Here is a 15907-nt window from a genome sequence, read left to right as displayed (position 1 = left end):
TCACTTTCTTTGCCGTAAAAAAAAAAAAAAAAAAAAAAATAGGAGGAGCAAATGATGGCCTCTAAAGCCTTTTCCAGTTGTAATAATTTTAATCTTAGACCTCTGAAATCTATCAGAGGAATTGTGGGATTCCTTGATTTGGGGTTGACCCTGACTTCAGAATATTTCACAGGGAGGGTGTACTGAGAAGGCCATTATATTTCCAGGACTGCCCTTATTACAGTCTATACCCGCACATTAGAGCTTCAGTGGGCACAGTCACCTACTTATAAATCATTCTGAACCAAACATAAGACCTTCCATTATATTTCTTTCCTAATTTGAGAATTGATTAATCGTAAAAATCATGTAAAAATACATAAAATCAATTTCATTTGGCTTTTAATTCAGTGATTACCTTTACAAAAAAAGAGTACACAGACTCGAGATGATCCCAGAGCGTCTGATGAGTCCTTACAAAGGGTTTAAGAATCTTGCAGTCAGAATACTGAACAAAGACACACAGTTGTGCTACTTGCAGCTGATGGAATCACAGGTATCCTTTCCATTAATGATCCCTAGACGATTTAGAATTGACAGCAGACCGCTAGTATAGTTATTTTGGGGGGTTATGCTGCACCAGGAGAGGCTTCAGCCCCCGAATACTGTGGCAATAATATAATGGAGTGAGAAGCAGGAGGGAGAGAGAGGATGGAACTGGAAAGTATAAGATCTGGGACAAGGAACTCAGACTGTCCTGCAGAAAAAAGAAATCATGCTTCTGGCTTCCAGTTGAGTCCTGTGGTTATTCCCAATAGGTCATTAATTTGTGTCACAGGGCATGGAACAGACATAACACCTATATTTCAGGGGTTTAAAATCTTAGTACAATGGAGCACAAAAGAGATTATGGTTTCTAACTTCTAGTTTCCATTATCTATCATCAAACATGACATATTTTAATAAATTTTCCCTAATGCAAGTCAATACTTGGCAAAGCACAATCACATCTTAAATTATGGAAAAAAGTAATACAATTTTGAAAAGAAAAAGTTCCTTTAACCATATGAGATCTTTGAGATCCCCTGAATGAATTTAAAAGGTTGAACTCTCTCTGAAGACATATGACACATTGATTTATTTATTTTAACCTTTACTTTTCTCAAAATTATAGCAGTATGTAGGGGGCCTGATATGGTTTGGCTTTGTGTCCCCCACAAATCTCATCTCAAATTGTAATTTCCATGTTTCAGGGGAAGGGCCTGGTGGGAGGTGATTGGATCACGGGGGCAAATTTTCCCCTTTTGCTTTTCTTGTGATAGTGAGTGAGTTCTCATGAGATCTGATCATTTAATAGTGTGTGGCACCACCCCCTTCTCTATCTCTCCTGCTCTGCCATGGTATGATGTGCCTGCTTCCCCTTTGCCCTCTGCCATGATTGTAGGTTTCCTGAGGCCTCTTAGTCATGCTTCCTGTTAAGCCTGTGGAACTGTGAGTCAATGAAACCATTTTTCTTCAAAAATTACCCAGTCTCAGATAGTTCTTTATAGCAGTGTGAAAACAGACTAATACAGGTCGACAGACTAGAAAAGGAATCAACTTCTGGTGTTGGAGAACAGGACTTACAAATGTAAACATCCAAAATAGTAGTTAGTTAATATCAACATAAAAAGGGCTAAGTAATCAATCTGTCCTAAGAGATGGAATGTGTCTTAAGTGGAATATGCTACTGATGACACTAAGGCACTTTCTCAAGTCTCATCTCATTTCCAAAATTCGGTCAACAAGAGGCCAATCTAAATGTAATACACTGTCAATTTTGGTCTTCTAACATATTCATGCCAAATGCAAGCAGAAGAGTATTAGTTTGCATGGAGTATAGAAAAAATAATCAGAAGAGGAAGAATTTGCAATATATTTTTCTATCTCTGTCCTTGAGTAGGTTTGCTTTAAGGTGAACCCTGTAGATACTAGATCTAGATCACATTCAACTAACATTTATTGAGCACTTATTTATGCTCAAATTCCTGAACCAGAACCTTTGTAGATTCTATCATAGTTGGTAGAAGACATGCATCCTTCATGGTAACTTTGAAATTTGTATTCTAGTTTTTCAGTGTGTCTTATGAATTTGGTTCCTGTGAATCAAATGGGTTTTGACTCATGCCAATGCTGATGGGTTCTGAGGTCATGTCTAGGCTAAATGGGAAAGAGAGTCTCACTGATTGCTGAAAGAGGGCAGTCATGTCTGAGCCCTGGGTTTGGGAAGACAGAGTGAAGGTCTGTGTGCCACATATTGGCAATTCTAGTTCCTCAACACTTGCTGAATTGATCAAAAGTTGCTGAATTCTGAAAATCAAAAGTTAGGGATTAGACTCGAGTTCTTAACTGGCCCACCATGGTTCAGTCATCCCAGAAGGTTCAGCTAACCATGAAATCTCTGCCTTTATCTCTGTCATTTCTTAACTCCAGTGACAACTATAATTAGGAATCCATATTCTATATGAATATATATGTGATACAGAGTTGTGTATCCTACTGTATGCATGCTACGATGGAATCCTACATTAGAAAACAAGCTCTGTAAAGGACTTTGCATATTTTGTTCACTGCTGTATTCTTAGAGCTTGAAACACAATAGTGCCTGGCACACAGTAAGTGCTAAACTTGTGAATAAATCAATGACTGACTGAATGAAATGATCACTGAATCTGGAAATCAACCAACCTTGGTTTAAATCCTGGCCCTGCCACTCACTAGACTTGTGATTTGGACAAGCAAAACTAATTTCTCCAAGCCTCAGTTTTGTTATCTGAAAAATGGTCTACATGTCTAGCAGTGTTATGTGAATGAAATGAGCTAATATATCAAAAGGGACCTGGTACAGGTCTTTGAGTATAAATAAGTGTGCAGTCAATGTTGGTTGAATGTGATCTAAATCTAGTAGGCTTCCTAAAAGTCACTAGCAAAAAGAAATTACAAAAATTTTCTTCTCTTTGTTCATCACAACTAAACCAATATCCAAGCAACTTAGTTTAGGAGGTGCTAGGAATATTAAGGATAATTAAACAACTGCAGTTAAGCTGAGATGTAAGACAAGCCTAACCTTCCAGAACCTGAAGGCATTACAAAATGGGCTGCGCCCACATGGAAAACAGGGAGAAGCATTTTTGTTCCATTTTCACTAAACATGAATATGAGCGGGGCACAGCCTTTAGAATTAGCACACATACCTGTATGTCTTTAGGTGGTATTTTCTATCTCTTATCATGTGAGGTGCTCGAGAGAGAATGGCATTTCGTAAAATTTTTCCAGCTCTGAGGATCTTCTCTGAAGGGACCTGGATTGTAATCAGGTGGAAGGAGGGGAGGAGAAAGAAGTGTTTATAGAAGGAAAACAAACCAAACAAATCCTGAAACCACTTTCCAATCTGACTCTGGCTTGGAAAACATAACTCACTCAGTGCTTTACTTTGTTCACTTGTGTGATATGTCACTGGTTTATGTTGAGAACTGAAACACTGAATATTTCCTGTCTCTAGAAAATGTATCAGAGGCTTCCTGATGTGATCCCCTGACATATGGACCACCTCCAGAGGTACTTAAGAAGCTAGCTCAATGGCTCATCAACCCACCTACATCCCATTACCTTGGTAATGGTGTTAGCAGGACGAAGAGGAACGTGAGGTTCAATGAGAGGTGTCTGAAAAATAAAATGTTAAAGCAAAAGAAAATTAAACAAAAAGTTCACTGAAGAAAATTATGGGTTGGGGGATAATAAGAAACATCCATTTTTTATAAAACTCAAAATATAATTTAAAAAAATAAGAGATAAATTCTGCCTAAAGAACTTGAATGCATAGGCATTCAAAGGGCAAAATTAGACCATTCAATTTGCCAACATTTAAATATAAATTATTACAAATGAAAAAACCAAATAGATAGGAATGATTAGATGTTTGTAGGCTTCATGAGAAGAGGAAATAAATATCTATTCAGAGCCTAACAAACATCAGAGCAGAGGAAAAAGCAAAACAAGATAAACATAAATGGAGATTAAAATGACCTGTCTCCAGGGGTGGGAAGAAAGTATTGATATGGGATGGAAATGAGCTATTTCGTCTCTCTCTTGTGTAGTTAAGATTCTTTTTCTGCAATTTGTATTTTTAGAAATAAAGTTTTAATTTTTAAATGCGACTTCTTGGCGGTTCTATGCACTCAAGCTCCTAGAGCCCACTGAGGCAGTTAGTACACTTCTCTTTCTTCTACTAAGTAGAAGAAAGTGTACAGAGTTCAGGATTCTGTGACTGTCAGATCAGCTCTAGGCTCTAGAGAAAGTGCATATGATTATCTACATTCTAGTTTTTAAATAGATGGGGTCTTGCTCTGTTGCCCAGGCTGGAGTGCAGTGGTGTGATCCTAGCTCACTGCAGCTTCAAAGCCTTGAACTCCCAGGCTCAAGAGATTCTCCCACCTCAGCTTCCCAAGCACCTAGGACTACAGGCTTGCACCACCATACCCGGTTAATTTTTGTCTGTAGAGATGAGGTCTCGATATGTTGCCCAGGCTGGTCTCGCACTCCTGGCCTCAAGGGACCCTCCTGCCTTGGCCTCCCAAAGTGCTGGGATTATAGGCATGAGCCACAGCACCTGGCCTATTAACAACATTCTTCAGATGGAGGTATTGAATGTAATCCCAGAAAAATTACTTCCACACAGCTACACATTAAGCCCTCTAGTCTTACAGAAACCCCTTCGTTTTCTTGCTCTGAAATAATCTGGTAATGATATTCCAAACGGTGGAGAAAAATGTATCCAGTCAAGGGGAGTGACAGAAGCACCAATACAATGCCATTTATGCCACTTCCAGAAGGTAAGAAAAGATGGGAGATTTATTTCTTATGAGATTGTGGTAGGCAGAATAATACTCCCCCTGATTAAAAAAAAAGTTTATGTCCTCATCCCTAGAACCTTCAAACATGTCAGGTTACACGGCAAAAGGGACTCCAAAAATATGATTAAGTTAAGCATCAAACCAAGGAGATCATCCTGGTGTTTCTAGCTGGGCCAAAGGTAATCACAAGGGGGCTTAAAATATGGAAGAGGGAAGCAGAGAAGTCAGAACTGGCTTTGAAGATTAAAGAGGCCAAAGGCCAAGGAATGAGAGCAGCCTCCAGAAGATGGAAAAGGAGAAAAACAAACAAAAGAGATTTCCCCTAGAACTTCCAGATGAACGCAGCCCTGCTGACGCCTTATTGTGAGCCCAGTGAGACCCATTTCAGACTTCTAAACAATAGCACTGTTAGGTTATTAAGGTGTTTTTTAACCACTGCATTTGTGGTAATTTGTTATAGCAGTCATGGAAAACTGATGTAGAGATTATTACGCTTTGTACTAAAAACCCTACTGTTTGCAAATAGAAGCCATTACAGTGAAAATAAATTGATAAGTTTTCCCTCTAGTCCTAATAAAAAATGAGGTAAATAAAGGCCAATATATAATATTGTATGTAGCTAAATACAAACATACATGCATAAATATATACCTTTTTAAATTAACAATAAGTTTCAAGTGGGTTGATGCTTTTGATTTATAATAGAATTAAGGAAAAAGAGAAAAGAATACTAAACTTTAAGATAACAGCATAGATAAGATACAGATGTATTTAGAATGGCTGAAATCTCACTGAACTAACTTATTTAAACATTTTCATCACCTCGCTGGCATCTAGCAGACTTTTTTCCCCTCTTGAAATCACTGTAGCACAGATGTCAAGCAATATTATAGTATTTTAACAGCATACTGTTTACCAGCACAGATCAAGAAGTATCACTCTAGTCCAATTCAACAGTTGCTTTAAACAGGGACTGATTTTGCCCTGAAATAGTCCATGCTCTGTTATGGCAGACGTACTGATGGAGAGAGACTATGAGCTCACAGAGTCCCTGTACTTGCACCTAACACCTCAAAGAAGACAAGAATTCTTTGATAGTATATCACCCAGAGAAGTGTTCAAACACGTGAGACCATCATACACTGGGACCCTGAAAACGTGCAGTTAAAACACGCTACATATTTCTAAGTTGTGAGTTCCCAGGTTCTTAAGCCTCTCACCTCTTTTCATTACACAGGTTGGTTTACAGTCTAGGACTGCACCTGACTGTATCAAATTGTAAAGACCTCTGGTTTCTTGAAAATAATAGTAGAAATCCATTTCTTCTTCTTGTCTTAGAGTAAAGAGGTACAGATAGGTGTGGTCTAGAGTAGATGGGTATGGGATTTGTTTCTGAGCTCAACTTTTCTTTCCAATGAAAAACCTACTTTCCTTTGCAGTGATCTTTGAGAGGCTGCCAGAACCAAGGTCAAGAAGATGCCCATGCTTCTGGACTGGTGATAAGTGTTTATTCTTTGGTAGGTGCAATGAAACATTATTTGAAGATTGCATGTTTTAATTTGTTTCTAAAGCAATGGCTATATTTTAACAAAATGCTAACAAGTGGTCTCTAGGCTACTTTATTTTGTTGGACAGCTCCCTTTCTGGTTCCTTGGAACCCTGAAAAGAAAGTGTTACTAAAGCAAAGAAGTATCAAGCTTCAACCAGAACTTTTTCTTTGATTTGCAACTTCTAAAGAGGTAAATGTACACAAGGTTGTCTTTTAGCTAGTAATCCTAGTACCAGTTCCAGGACCAAGAGGGTATTTCATCTGTTGAAAGGCAGAATCCTCAGATCCTTCTCCGGCTCAAAGATTTTAGGTTTAGGGGCAACATGATGAATGAAGGATGCCTTGAGGAGGGGATGGTCCCTTTATTTAAATAAAATCTCCAAGGAACACATGCAGGGGAAAGCAGGGAAGGTTTTATTTTGAGGGAATAGGAATTTGTCTTTGAAAGGGACACTGTATTCAGTTAGGCAATATACCACATCCTCAGAACTATGTTGGTACTTAGAAGCCAAATGCTCTGAGACAGGGCAAGCCTGACAGGCAGGCCACATCCCTGGAAATAGTCACTGGCCAATGCCTGTTCAGAGACCCCTGCATTACAAGTGTAACTTTATTGCCTTTGTGTCAGATTATTTACTTCCTTTTTGGTTTCCCTTGGTTTTCAAGTAAAGTTTCTTTTGAGAATTTTACCTTAGCTGCACTGTAGAAAAATAAGAGAAAGAATGTCATTTTAAGAATTCTTAGGTTAAACAGGAGAAGGAAAGACAAAAGCATGGTGACATTTGTGAGAAACAAAGAAAGCAAGCCAGCTCTAGAGGCAGGTTTATACATGCTGTGCACACATGCTCCTTTACATGTATCTCCTTGCTATATTCTGACTCCCATTGTTTATGGAGACAGCTAAGACCAGAGACACCTAGGGACTTGCCTGTGCTCACACAGCCAATAACTGGAATTGCTTAGAGTAGACTCCAGGTCTATTTCACTCCAGTGTCTCCACTGCAGGTACAATGACCCCATCCACCTGCAGTTTTCTTCTAGAGACATCTTGGCCCACCCTTTGGAAGAGTCTGTGTTCTGTTTGATTCAAGTTATTGAGAAAATTGCATCCAAGCTCTTCTAGGTCATCAGGTATCAGACTTGATCTGATGAATTTCCAGCAATAAATATTCACAGTGACCTACTGAGATTACATATGAGCACCCTGCATCATGCTTGGTCTGAATTAACTTTTTAAAAAGCAACTTTGTGGGCCAGGCGCAGTGGCTCACGCCTGTAATCCCGGCACTTTGGGAGGCTGAGGCGGGCAGATCACGAGGTCAGGAGATCGAGACCAACCTGGGTAACACGGTGAAACCCCGTCTCTACTAAAAATACAAAAAAATTAGCCGGGCGTGGTGGCGGGCACCTGTAGTCCCAGCTACTTGGGAGGCTGAGGCAGGAGAATGGCGTGAACCCGGGAGGCGGAGGTTGCAGTGAGCTGAGATCGTGCCACTGCACTCCAGCCTGGGCGACAGAGTGAGATTCCATCTCAAAAAAAAAAAAAAAGAAAAAGAAACTTTGTAACAATAAAACAACATTTAGCATTGAGGAACTGTCCTATCAGGGCTAAGACAAATATACCAGGGAGAGGAGTAGCAGTCCAGTGCAGCCAGGAGATGGAAACCATTCATTGTATTTACCACAAGGGAATTTAATGCGGGAAGTGTTGCACCAGGGGAGGAAAATTTCAGAAGCCAAATAGATCACTGTGAGAGGTAGTCCCAATATTGGCAAAGCAGGAGGCCCTCAAGCAAAGGGACAGAGGGAGAAGGAAGCATGACCAGGGCCTGAGCCAGGTGTCCTGCTGGGAGCTGGAACCCTGGAGGGTGTCCCAGAACCCTAGAGGTATGGCCACTACTAGAGATGCCTCGGGGCCACTGCTGAGAGGGAGGCAAGAGCTTCCCGCATCCGATCTCTCTCCAGCCAGAAGTCAGAGAAACATGGAAAAGAATTTCATTTTATAAATGATTAGGTTAAATGGAAGAGGGAAAGAAGCAGCACTGCAGTATCCGTGAGAGTCAAAGAAAGAAAACCAGCCCAAAGGCAGAACCAAAGGGCAAAGAGTTGATCCGAGAGCAGCAGCCCCAGGACCCATACAGAAGATGTCGCAGTGGCCACAGGGCTGGGCAGGGCTGCCACAGCTGCCACCCAGCCCTCTCACTCGCTCCCTACACCATATCCTCCCGGATACTCTTCCTGCTGAGCGCTAGGCTAGGCAGGAGGACAGCGGGACGGCACAGAGTAGGGGCTGCATTTGGCCTGCTCGGTTTGCTTCCTAGAGCCCCATGTTTGGCCCTATAGCCAGAAAACACGTATCACAAATGAGCCCCGAAAGGCATGGACCCCTCTCCAATGAAATTTTCTAGATTTTGACACATCAATCATGTGTTGATAAAAATTCTTCCTCCCTACCTGAGCATGAAAGAATCCAAATGGGGCTGTGACAATGTGATCCTAAAACCGCGAGGCAGGGGGGACAGATAAAGGCAGAGGCATTCAGCTTTCTTTCTGCTTTTCTTGGCTTTCTCCACGAAAGACTTCCCTCAGGACTGACTGTAATTGATTTTTGTTTGTTTCTGGAAAGGGGATGCTCTTTCTACTGCCTTGTATTATGTTCATATTACTACTGAAAAGGAGAAACAGAGACGGAAAATATTCCTTTTGGCACCAGAGCCAATACATAAATACTAATCAGGTGAATGAAAAATATGAATTTAGCCTCCATTACAAGATGCACAATAACTCCCCAGTAGATTATAATGAGGTATAAGGCACTGTAATAGGCCTCACGAAAGACCATATTCAGACCCTTTTGAAAGGGGGTAATTCTTTTTCCTCAAGTGCTTGCTCAAAGAAGCCTTTTGCAAAGCACAGCATTTTAAACCAAGAGACAAGAATGACAAGCAAGATTGGGACACAACTCCTGCCAAACCAGTGCGGTAAAAAGCCAGGCAAGTCCACATCCAATCTGATTCAAGGATTTAATGAAGGTCTGTTGTGTGCAGAGCAGTGTGCGAGGCTAAAGAAGGAGACTCTGATAAGGTACCTGGCCAAAATGGGCTCTTGGTCTTGTTGAAAAAGCCAAACTTCTACGGGTTAAACAATTACAAGATAATATGAATCTAATAAATGCTGCAACATTTTGGATTTCAAATCCCCCTTTTCTTATTTCAGCTGAGGACATTTCTAGGAGGTAGAGAGCAGTATTCAGTTTTTTAGTGAAAATGATATACTTTTAGGAGCTATATTCCCTTGCTTTGGCATTTTGGAATAATATAACTAAGATCTTTGAAATGTATGTCTCATTCTTGTAATAGTTATCATCAATGTCATCACTCTTTGGGGCCGCCCAGATGAAATTAAAATAAGGACTAAGTCAGACTCATAGGCAGATTTCACTACTCTGAATTAACTCTGTAAGTTTTTCCATTTGTGAAATAATGGAAAAATCATCTAGAGACTTCTTCGGCTTCCATTTGAAGGCTTCTTTTTCCTCCCCAAGTCTTTTCCCCTAAGTTCAAAATTGGCTTAGAGATTTCCAGTTTCAGCTTTTCTCTTGTAAAGAGCTTGAAAGTTGTCGCTTATGGCCAAGAAAAAAGTGAAAATAATGAGTGCTCTTGGGCTCCTCAGAGAATTGAGGTTGCAAAGCAAACTGCCACCCAGAAATCTGGAGAGACAGGAAAATCCAGAGTCCTGATTGAGAGATTCGCTCACCTGGAAACCACAAACTGGTAAGAATACTTAGATGGTAGTTCTGATTAATTGCTGGAGGCTGAATGCAGATTAGCTTGACAGTGAGAAACTCCTGGGGATGGGGCGTTTTCAGCTGGGCACCCACACTATGTGAGTTTTACCTACTTCAACCCCACCAGTTTTACCTACTTCAGCTCCTCATGAAGAGCCAAAAAAGGGTCTCCTTGTGGCTCTGGCAAGGAGAAGGAAAGCATCATCATTGTGAAATACACCCAGAGCATTCACCATAATAAAGGCAGACTCTCTAGGGAAAAGACTTTAGGAGTGTCTTATCTCATGGGGTAAGGTTCTCTGACTGTAGCCACTCTAGCCCACCAGTCGTCTCCTGAAGGGAAAAATTTGTCTTGACCAGTCAAAAGAATAAATGTCTTCTTTCTCTCTCCCTCATACACTAGTAGCAGAGAAGTGCAAGTAAAGACAGGTGGGATGGGAGACACAGATCTCACCCTCACACCCCCACCCCACCGAATGCTGGGACCACCAGTCCAGGCTCCTCAGGGATTCAGCTCCAACAAGAGCTGAACATTTAAAACATGTACATGACTAATCTTTAATAGCTGAAATAACATTTTAAGGGCCCAAAGTGACAAAACATTTATGGATTAAGACTGAGGTGTTTTTATGGTTGCTAAGTACCAGAGAGAACACAGTTAATAGTGGTCAGTGGGGGAAGGGGATTATTTCATGTGTATATTTCACTGAGTTGAAATATACTCTCTCTCTGTCTGTCTCTCTCTAGAGAGTTATTTGGTTGGTTTTACATATATTATAACAAATAACTGAGACTATATATTACATATATAAATATATAACAGTTATTTTTTATATTTATTATATAACATATTTATATATAATTCTCTCTATACATATATAGAGATCATGAGATATCTATATATAGAGATATATATAGAGAACTATTATATATATAGAATTATATAGAGAGAACTATTACATATAAAATAAATAATAGATATAATATATAATAGATATAAAAGATTGTATATTATATAAATGTAAAATATCTATAATAGATAGCTATTATATATATATTTTTTAAGTGGCTCATAAATCAGGGGCACTGAAGACTACAGTGTGGTCTCAGGCTGCAGTCTGACTATTTGTATCTGACAGTAAGAAGAGACTGAAGAATACAGAAGACTGCATGGTGAGTCTGTAAAACCGGACGAAGGAAGCGCTTCCAGGAAACAGGCTGCCTGGACCCCCCCTGTCAACTGTTCTGGAGTACTGCTCTTAGCAGGTGCTAGCAAATGGTTCAAGTTTCTCCGCAACATACCCTAACACAGTGCTGCAAGATGGCATGTTTTTAGAATGATTCTGTCAAACCCTAACTTACAATGTAAGATTGTTTCTGAATTCTTCTAGTGGAGAGAGGCAGCTTCAATTAGATAGTAATCTTTCTTTTAACATACAGGATCTTCTGAGTGTTTGCTTTCTAGGAGGTATATCTATATCTGTTAGACACTTCTAAGTCAGATATTTAGAGGCAAAAAATAAAATGGTAACTTTAGAGAGGTCCCTGTTCTTACCAGTAAGAATGGTTCTCTTTTAGATCTTACAAAGTAGTTCATTTTTTCCTTACAAATTGGCTTGATCGAGCCTAGATTTTCTTATAATGGCAATACCAACATATTACTATGAAATCTGCATTTGAGTAGTAGAAGCTAAGAGATGTACACAAGCCAACCATAATATTCCACAGAAGCCACTGCCCATTACGGTGTGTCTCCCCTTACAACTGTGACTTCTATGGAAACATAAACTCTGAAAAAGAGTCTTCAACCACTGTTCCCTCCTCCTTTTACAAATCTAAGCCTTGGCCTCATCATTCACCCTTGTTTCCAATACGAGAAATTCTGACAACAAAGTCCAAACCTGGGAATAGTGTGTTGAGTGCTTTTTGGAAATAAAACAAATGTTAAGATTTTGAAGACATGGTTCAATTCTTACAACTTTCATGGACTGGCACTTATTACAAAAGGGCTGGAACACTATGACATTTCCCTTTATAATCTCTAATTTAAAAAAAAATAGCCTGGTGTGGTGGCACATGCCTGCAGTCCTAGCTACTTGAGAGACTGAAGCAGGAGGATCACTTGAGCCCAGTAGTTTGAGGTTGCAGTGAGCTATGATTGTGTAAATTACCATGCCTGGCAGGAATTTTCATTTAAATTAAAAATTTTAAATTCTGTTCCTAAATTTCATTAGCTACATTTCAAGTGCTCCATAGCCACTTGTGCCTTATCCAAGCCTTGGTTATCCCTTGTCTAGAGATCATGATCCTGTCCTAGAAGGTGTGTATGCTTCCATCCCCTGCCATCCCTGCCCCAACATCATCAACCCCATAGCCGCATGATCCTATAAAAACATAGATCAGATCATGTTGCCCCAAATCCTCCAATGGCTTCTCTTCCCACTCCCAGTGAAAGCCAAACTCTATAGTTTACAGTGTAACTGTCTGGCTCCTTGCAACCTCTGATCTTATCTCTGCTCTCTAGCCCTCTGCTCAGGCCACACCCTCTCTTCCTTTTGCCTGGATGCACTCTTCCCAGACAGCCCCATGGCTCACACCCTCACTTCTTTCAGGTCTCTGCTCAAACACACCTTCTTGGAGAGGCCTGCTCTGTCCATTCTATAGGATATCGTATCCCTGCCCCATATCTGGCACTCTTTACCCCTCTCGCTATAGCATTTATCACACTGGATATTCATGTTCGTTTCTTACCTGTTTACTGTACTGAAATGTTAGCTGCATGAAGACAAGAACCTTGTTTTGCTCACTGTTCTACCCCAGCTCTTGGCATACAGAACTACTCAAGGATTTATTGAATGAATGGAAGAATTTCTTCATTGATTCATTTATTCTAGCTGACTTCATTGTAGGTGCCCAAAGAGAAAACTGAGAGTAACTTATGTGTTCAGGTATATGAAGGGATGTTGGGAGCAAACTGATTGGGTGTTTCCACTGCACTGTGGTGTGAAGAATCAGATTCAATGAGTTGCAATTGAGTAGAAACTTACTGACAGAGAGGAATACTAAGTAATTCCCCTCTTCCTAGTCCTTTGTTTTTTTAAACGGACTGGGTTTTGTGTCTGATAAAATGATGCACAAAATCAGTGCTTTGCAAATTTTAATGACTGCATGAAGCCCATGGGGATCTCATTAAAATGCAGATTTTGGTTATGTTGGTCTGAGATGTTACCTAAGATTCTTCATTTCTGCCAAGTGATGTTGATGCTGCTGGTGTGGGAACCACACTTTGAGCATCAAAGAATTGGATGAGTATCAGTAGAACCCTATGGATCCATAACTTCATAATCCTTACTAACATGTGAGCATTTCTAAAGATTGGATCTAGTCAATATAATCATAAGGTCATCATTCTAACAACATTTATGTTATCTAAATAAGCCAATATGTTTTCCAGTTAAAGGAATTATTGTGCAATCACAATTGTCCTTATTTTTGGAATACTCAAGTACCTTACAGGAAAATCAAATACTTATAATTTATTAAAGAAAATGCATTTGGCCTTTAGGAGTATTTGAGTAATATACTTAATATTCACAAATAACACACTTCAAACTTTCTAAATTACAAATAAACTATCTCAACCAAATTCATTATATAAACATTTCATAAGAATAGATAAAAACACAAGAATACATAAAAACACAACATAATCCTTACATTACCCTCCTAAGAGAATCAGGAAAAAAACACACTCCATTTTTATGAAATTTAATAATAATTTATGAAATTAGTATTGGAAAATGTTTACATGTGAATTTAAATCTCAATAGCGTGATTTCAGTATTTGCTGAATGGATCAATCCTTATCCTTATTCTAACTACTTGAGGCAGAACAGGGTCACCTTGGCCAAGCCCCACGGCCCCCGCCACTGGGTACCACTGAGACTCCCAAAGTGCACACATTGGACCCCAGAAACCCAGCCCCTCCCCTACCGCCCTCATCAAGGAATTGGATTCTGTAAAGGATGGCAGAGTTTGGGTCACAAGCTTGGGCTTTAATTGTGTTCAGGAAGGCCAGATTTCTAAAGTTTGAAAAATCCCAATCAAAGTTAGCATTCTCTCCCCACCAGAAAAGCAGAAGAAATGTCTACTAACCTGGGATGTTAAAACCTAAGTATAGAGAACAAATTTATAAATATTACAAGCATGCATATTTACAGTGTATAACATCTAACAAGATTACAGCTATCTCAGATACCCTGATAGAAAGGCAAGTTTCCATTTCTCAAAACTTTGGAAGTATTTTCTCAAGCCCATTGGGCATACAGTAGATACATCCTTAAAACTATGTCACAGTAACAAACTTACAATAACACCCTATAAATAATAACATATAATGATTTACCATGTTATGTAATTCTAGTTTGAATAAAAATACCTGTGCAAACATCAGTTTATTTCATGGACATTTGAGAATGTCATCTGTTGTGCTCATCTGATTTGTCAGAGTTCAAAGGACACTATTCTGGTAAATGATACTAAGTTAATTATAATCCTAGGTTTGGGTTACAAGATGTTTAAAAATGAGATTGGCTCAATTAGAGACACACCTACTGAAACAATCTGAGAAGCTATAGAAACTGCTTTAAAAAATATAGCACACTACAGGTGACTTTTCTCATCCTTGGTCTTTGAAGATTCATAATCAATGCATCAGATGAAACAACTGAAAGGGAGATTATTGATCGGGTTAGGGTATTCCTGATTTTCTTGATTTTGAGGGATCTATGGGATATATTTCCGCCAGACACCAGTCATATCCTGAGTGCACCCTCAGGACCTTTCTGCATTTCCTGAATCTCCATTACAGTAAATATTTCATTGCTTATACCACAGTTATTGATATATCTGTTTCTCCAAGTACTACATGAAGTCCTTAAAAAATTGTGTCTTTGTTATCTCAGAATCCCTGCGGTGCTTTGTGCATACAGATTGTTCATTAAATATTTATTTGATTAATATGTAGAGAAATCTCTGAGGAGTTTTTAGCTGGAAGTGGCATGAAAAGAATTTTTCCTCTTTTCATTTCTGAAATTCCAGTTTTGCTCTTCATGGTTAGATATGAAAAGGCTAAGTTTACTGGATGTTGGAAATTAATTTGTGAACTATTTTACTTTTGCTTTTTCCTGCCTAGGAATAACATTTCCCTTCAGTTCAAATCTGCACTAAGGTATTTTAGGTTGGACAGAAGATATATTAATTTCTTTCTTTTTAAAAACTTTTAAGTTCAGGGGTACATATGCAGGTTTGTTATATAGGTAAACTTGTGTCATGGGAGTTTGTTGTACAGAGGATTTAATCACCCAAGTATTAAGCCCAGTACCCATTAGTTATTGTTCCTGATCGTCTCCCTCCTCCTACCCTCTACCCTACAATAGGCCCCAGTGTGTGTTGTGCCTCTCTGTGGGTCCATGTATTCTCATCATTTAGCTTCCACTTAAAGTGAGAGCATGCAGTATTTGGTTTTCTGTTCCTGCATTAGTTTGCTAAGGATGATGGCCTCCAGCTCCAACCATGTTCCTGCAAAAGACAGGATCTCATTCTTTTTTATGGCTGCATAGTATTCCATGGGAAAACACATTAATTTCAAGTGGACACCTTTATATTTCCTTTAGATCAAGGAAGTTCTAGAAAACAGAC

At 39.4% G+C, this 15907-nt stretch overlaps 1 protein-coding gene across 30 annotated transcripts in view; it reads right to left on the bottom strand.

Annotated features, from left to right (window-relative positions):
• RAPGEF4 (Rap guanine nucleotide exchange factor 4) overlaps positions 1 to 15907 on the bottom strand; it is a 317576-nt gene that overhangs the window by 88453 nt on the left and 213216 nt on the right. For 19 of the 30 annotated variants that reach the window (NR_164739.1, XM_047443030.1, NM_001375864.1 and 16 more), the window contains 2 exons: positions 3628 to 3681; positions 3213 to 3319 (listed from right to left, as the gene is read on the bottom strand). Coding sequence is in view for 27 of the 30 variants with exons in the window: in XM_047443030.1 (XP_047298986.1) it covers positions 3213 to 3319; positions 3628 to 3681 (161 nt within the window). In the remaining 3 variants the exon portion in view is untranslated. The remainder of the gene's footprint in view (positions 1 to 3212; positions 3320 to 3627; positions 3682 to 15907) is intronic. The other 11 variants (NR_164740.1, NR_164741.1, XM_006712205.4 and 8 more) reach the window with 1 other exon arrangement.

This window comes from Homo sapiens, chromosome 2, assembly GCF_000001405.40.
Source record: "Homo sapiens chromosome 2, GRCh38.p14 Primary Assembly".
NCBI lineage: Eukaryota > Metazoa > Chordata > Mammalia > Primates > Hominidae > Homo > Homo sapiens.
Note: the sequence above shows the minus strand (reverse complement) of the source record. Positions and strands in the feature narration are given on the sequence as shown.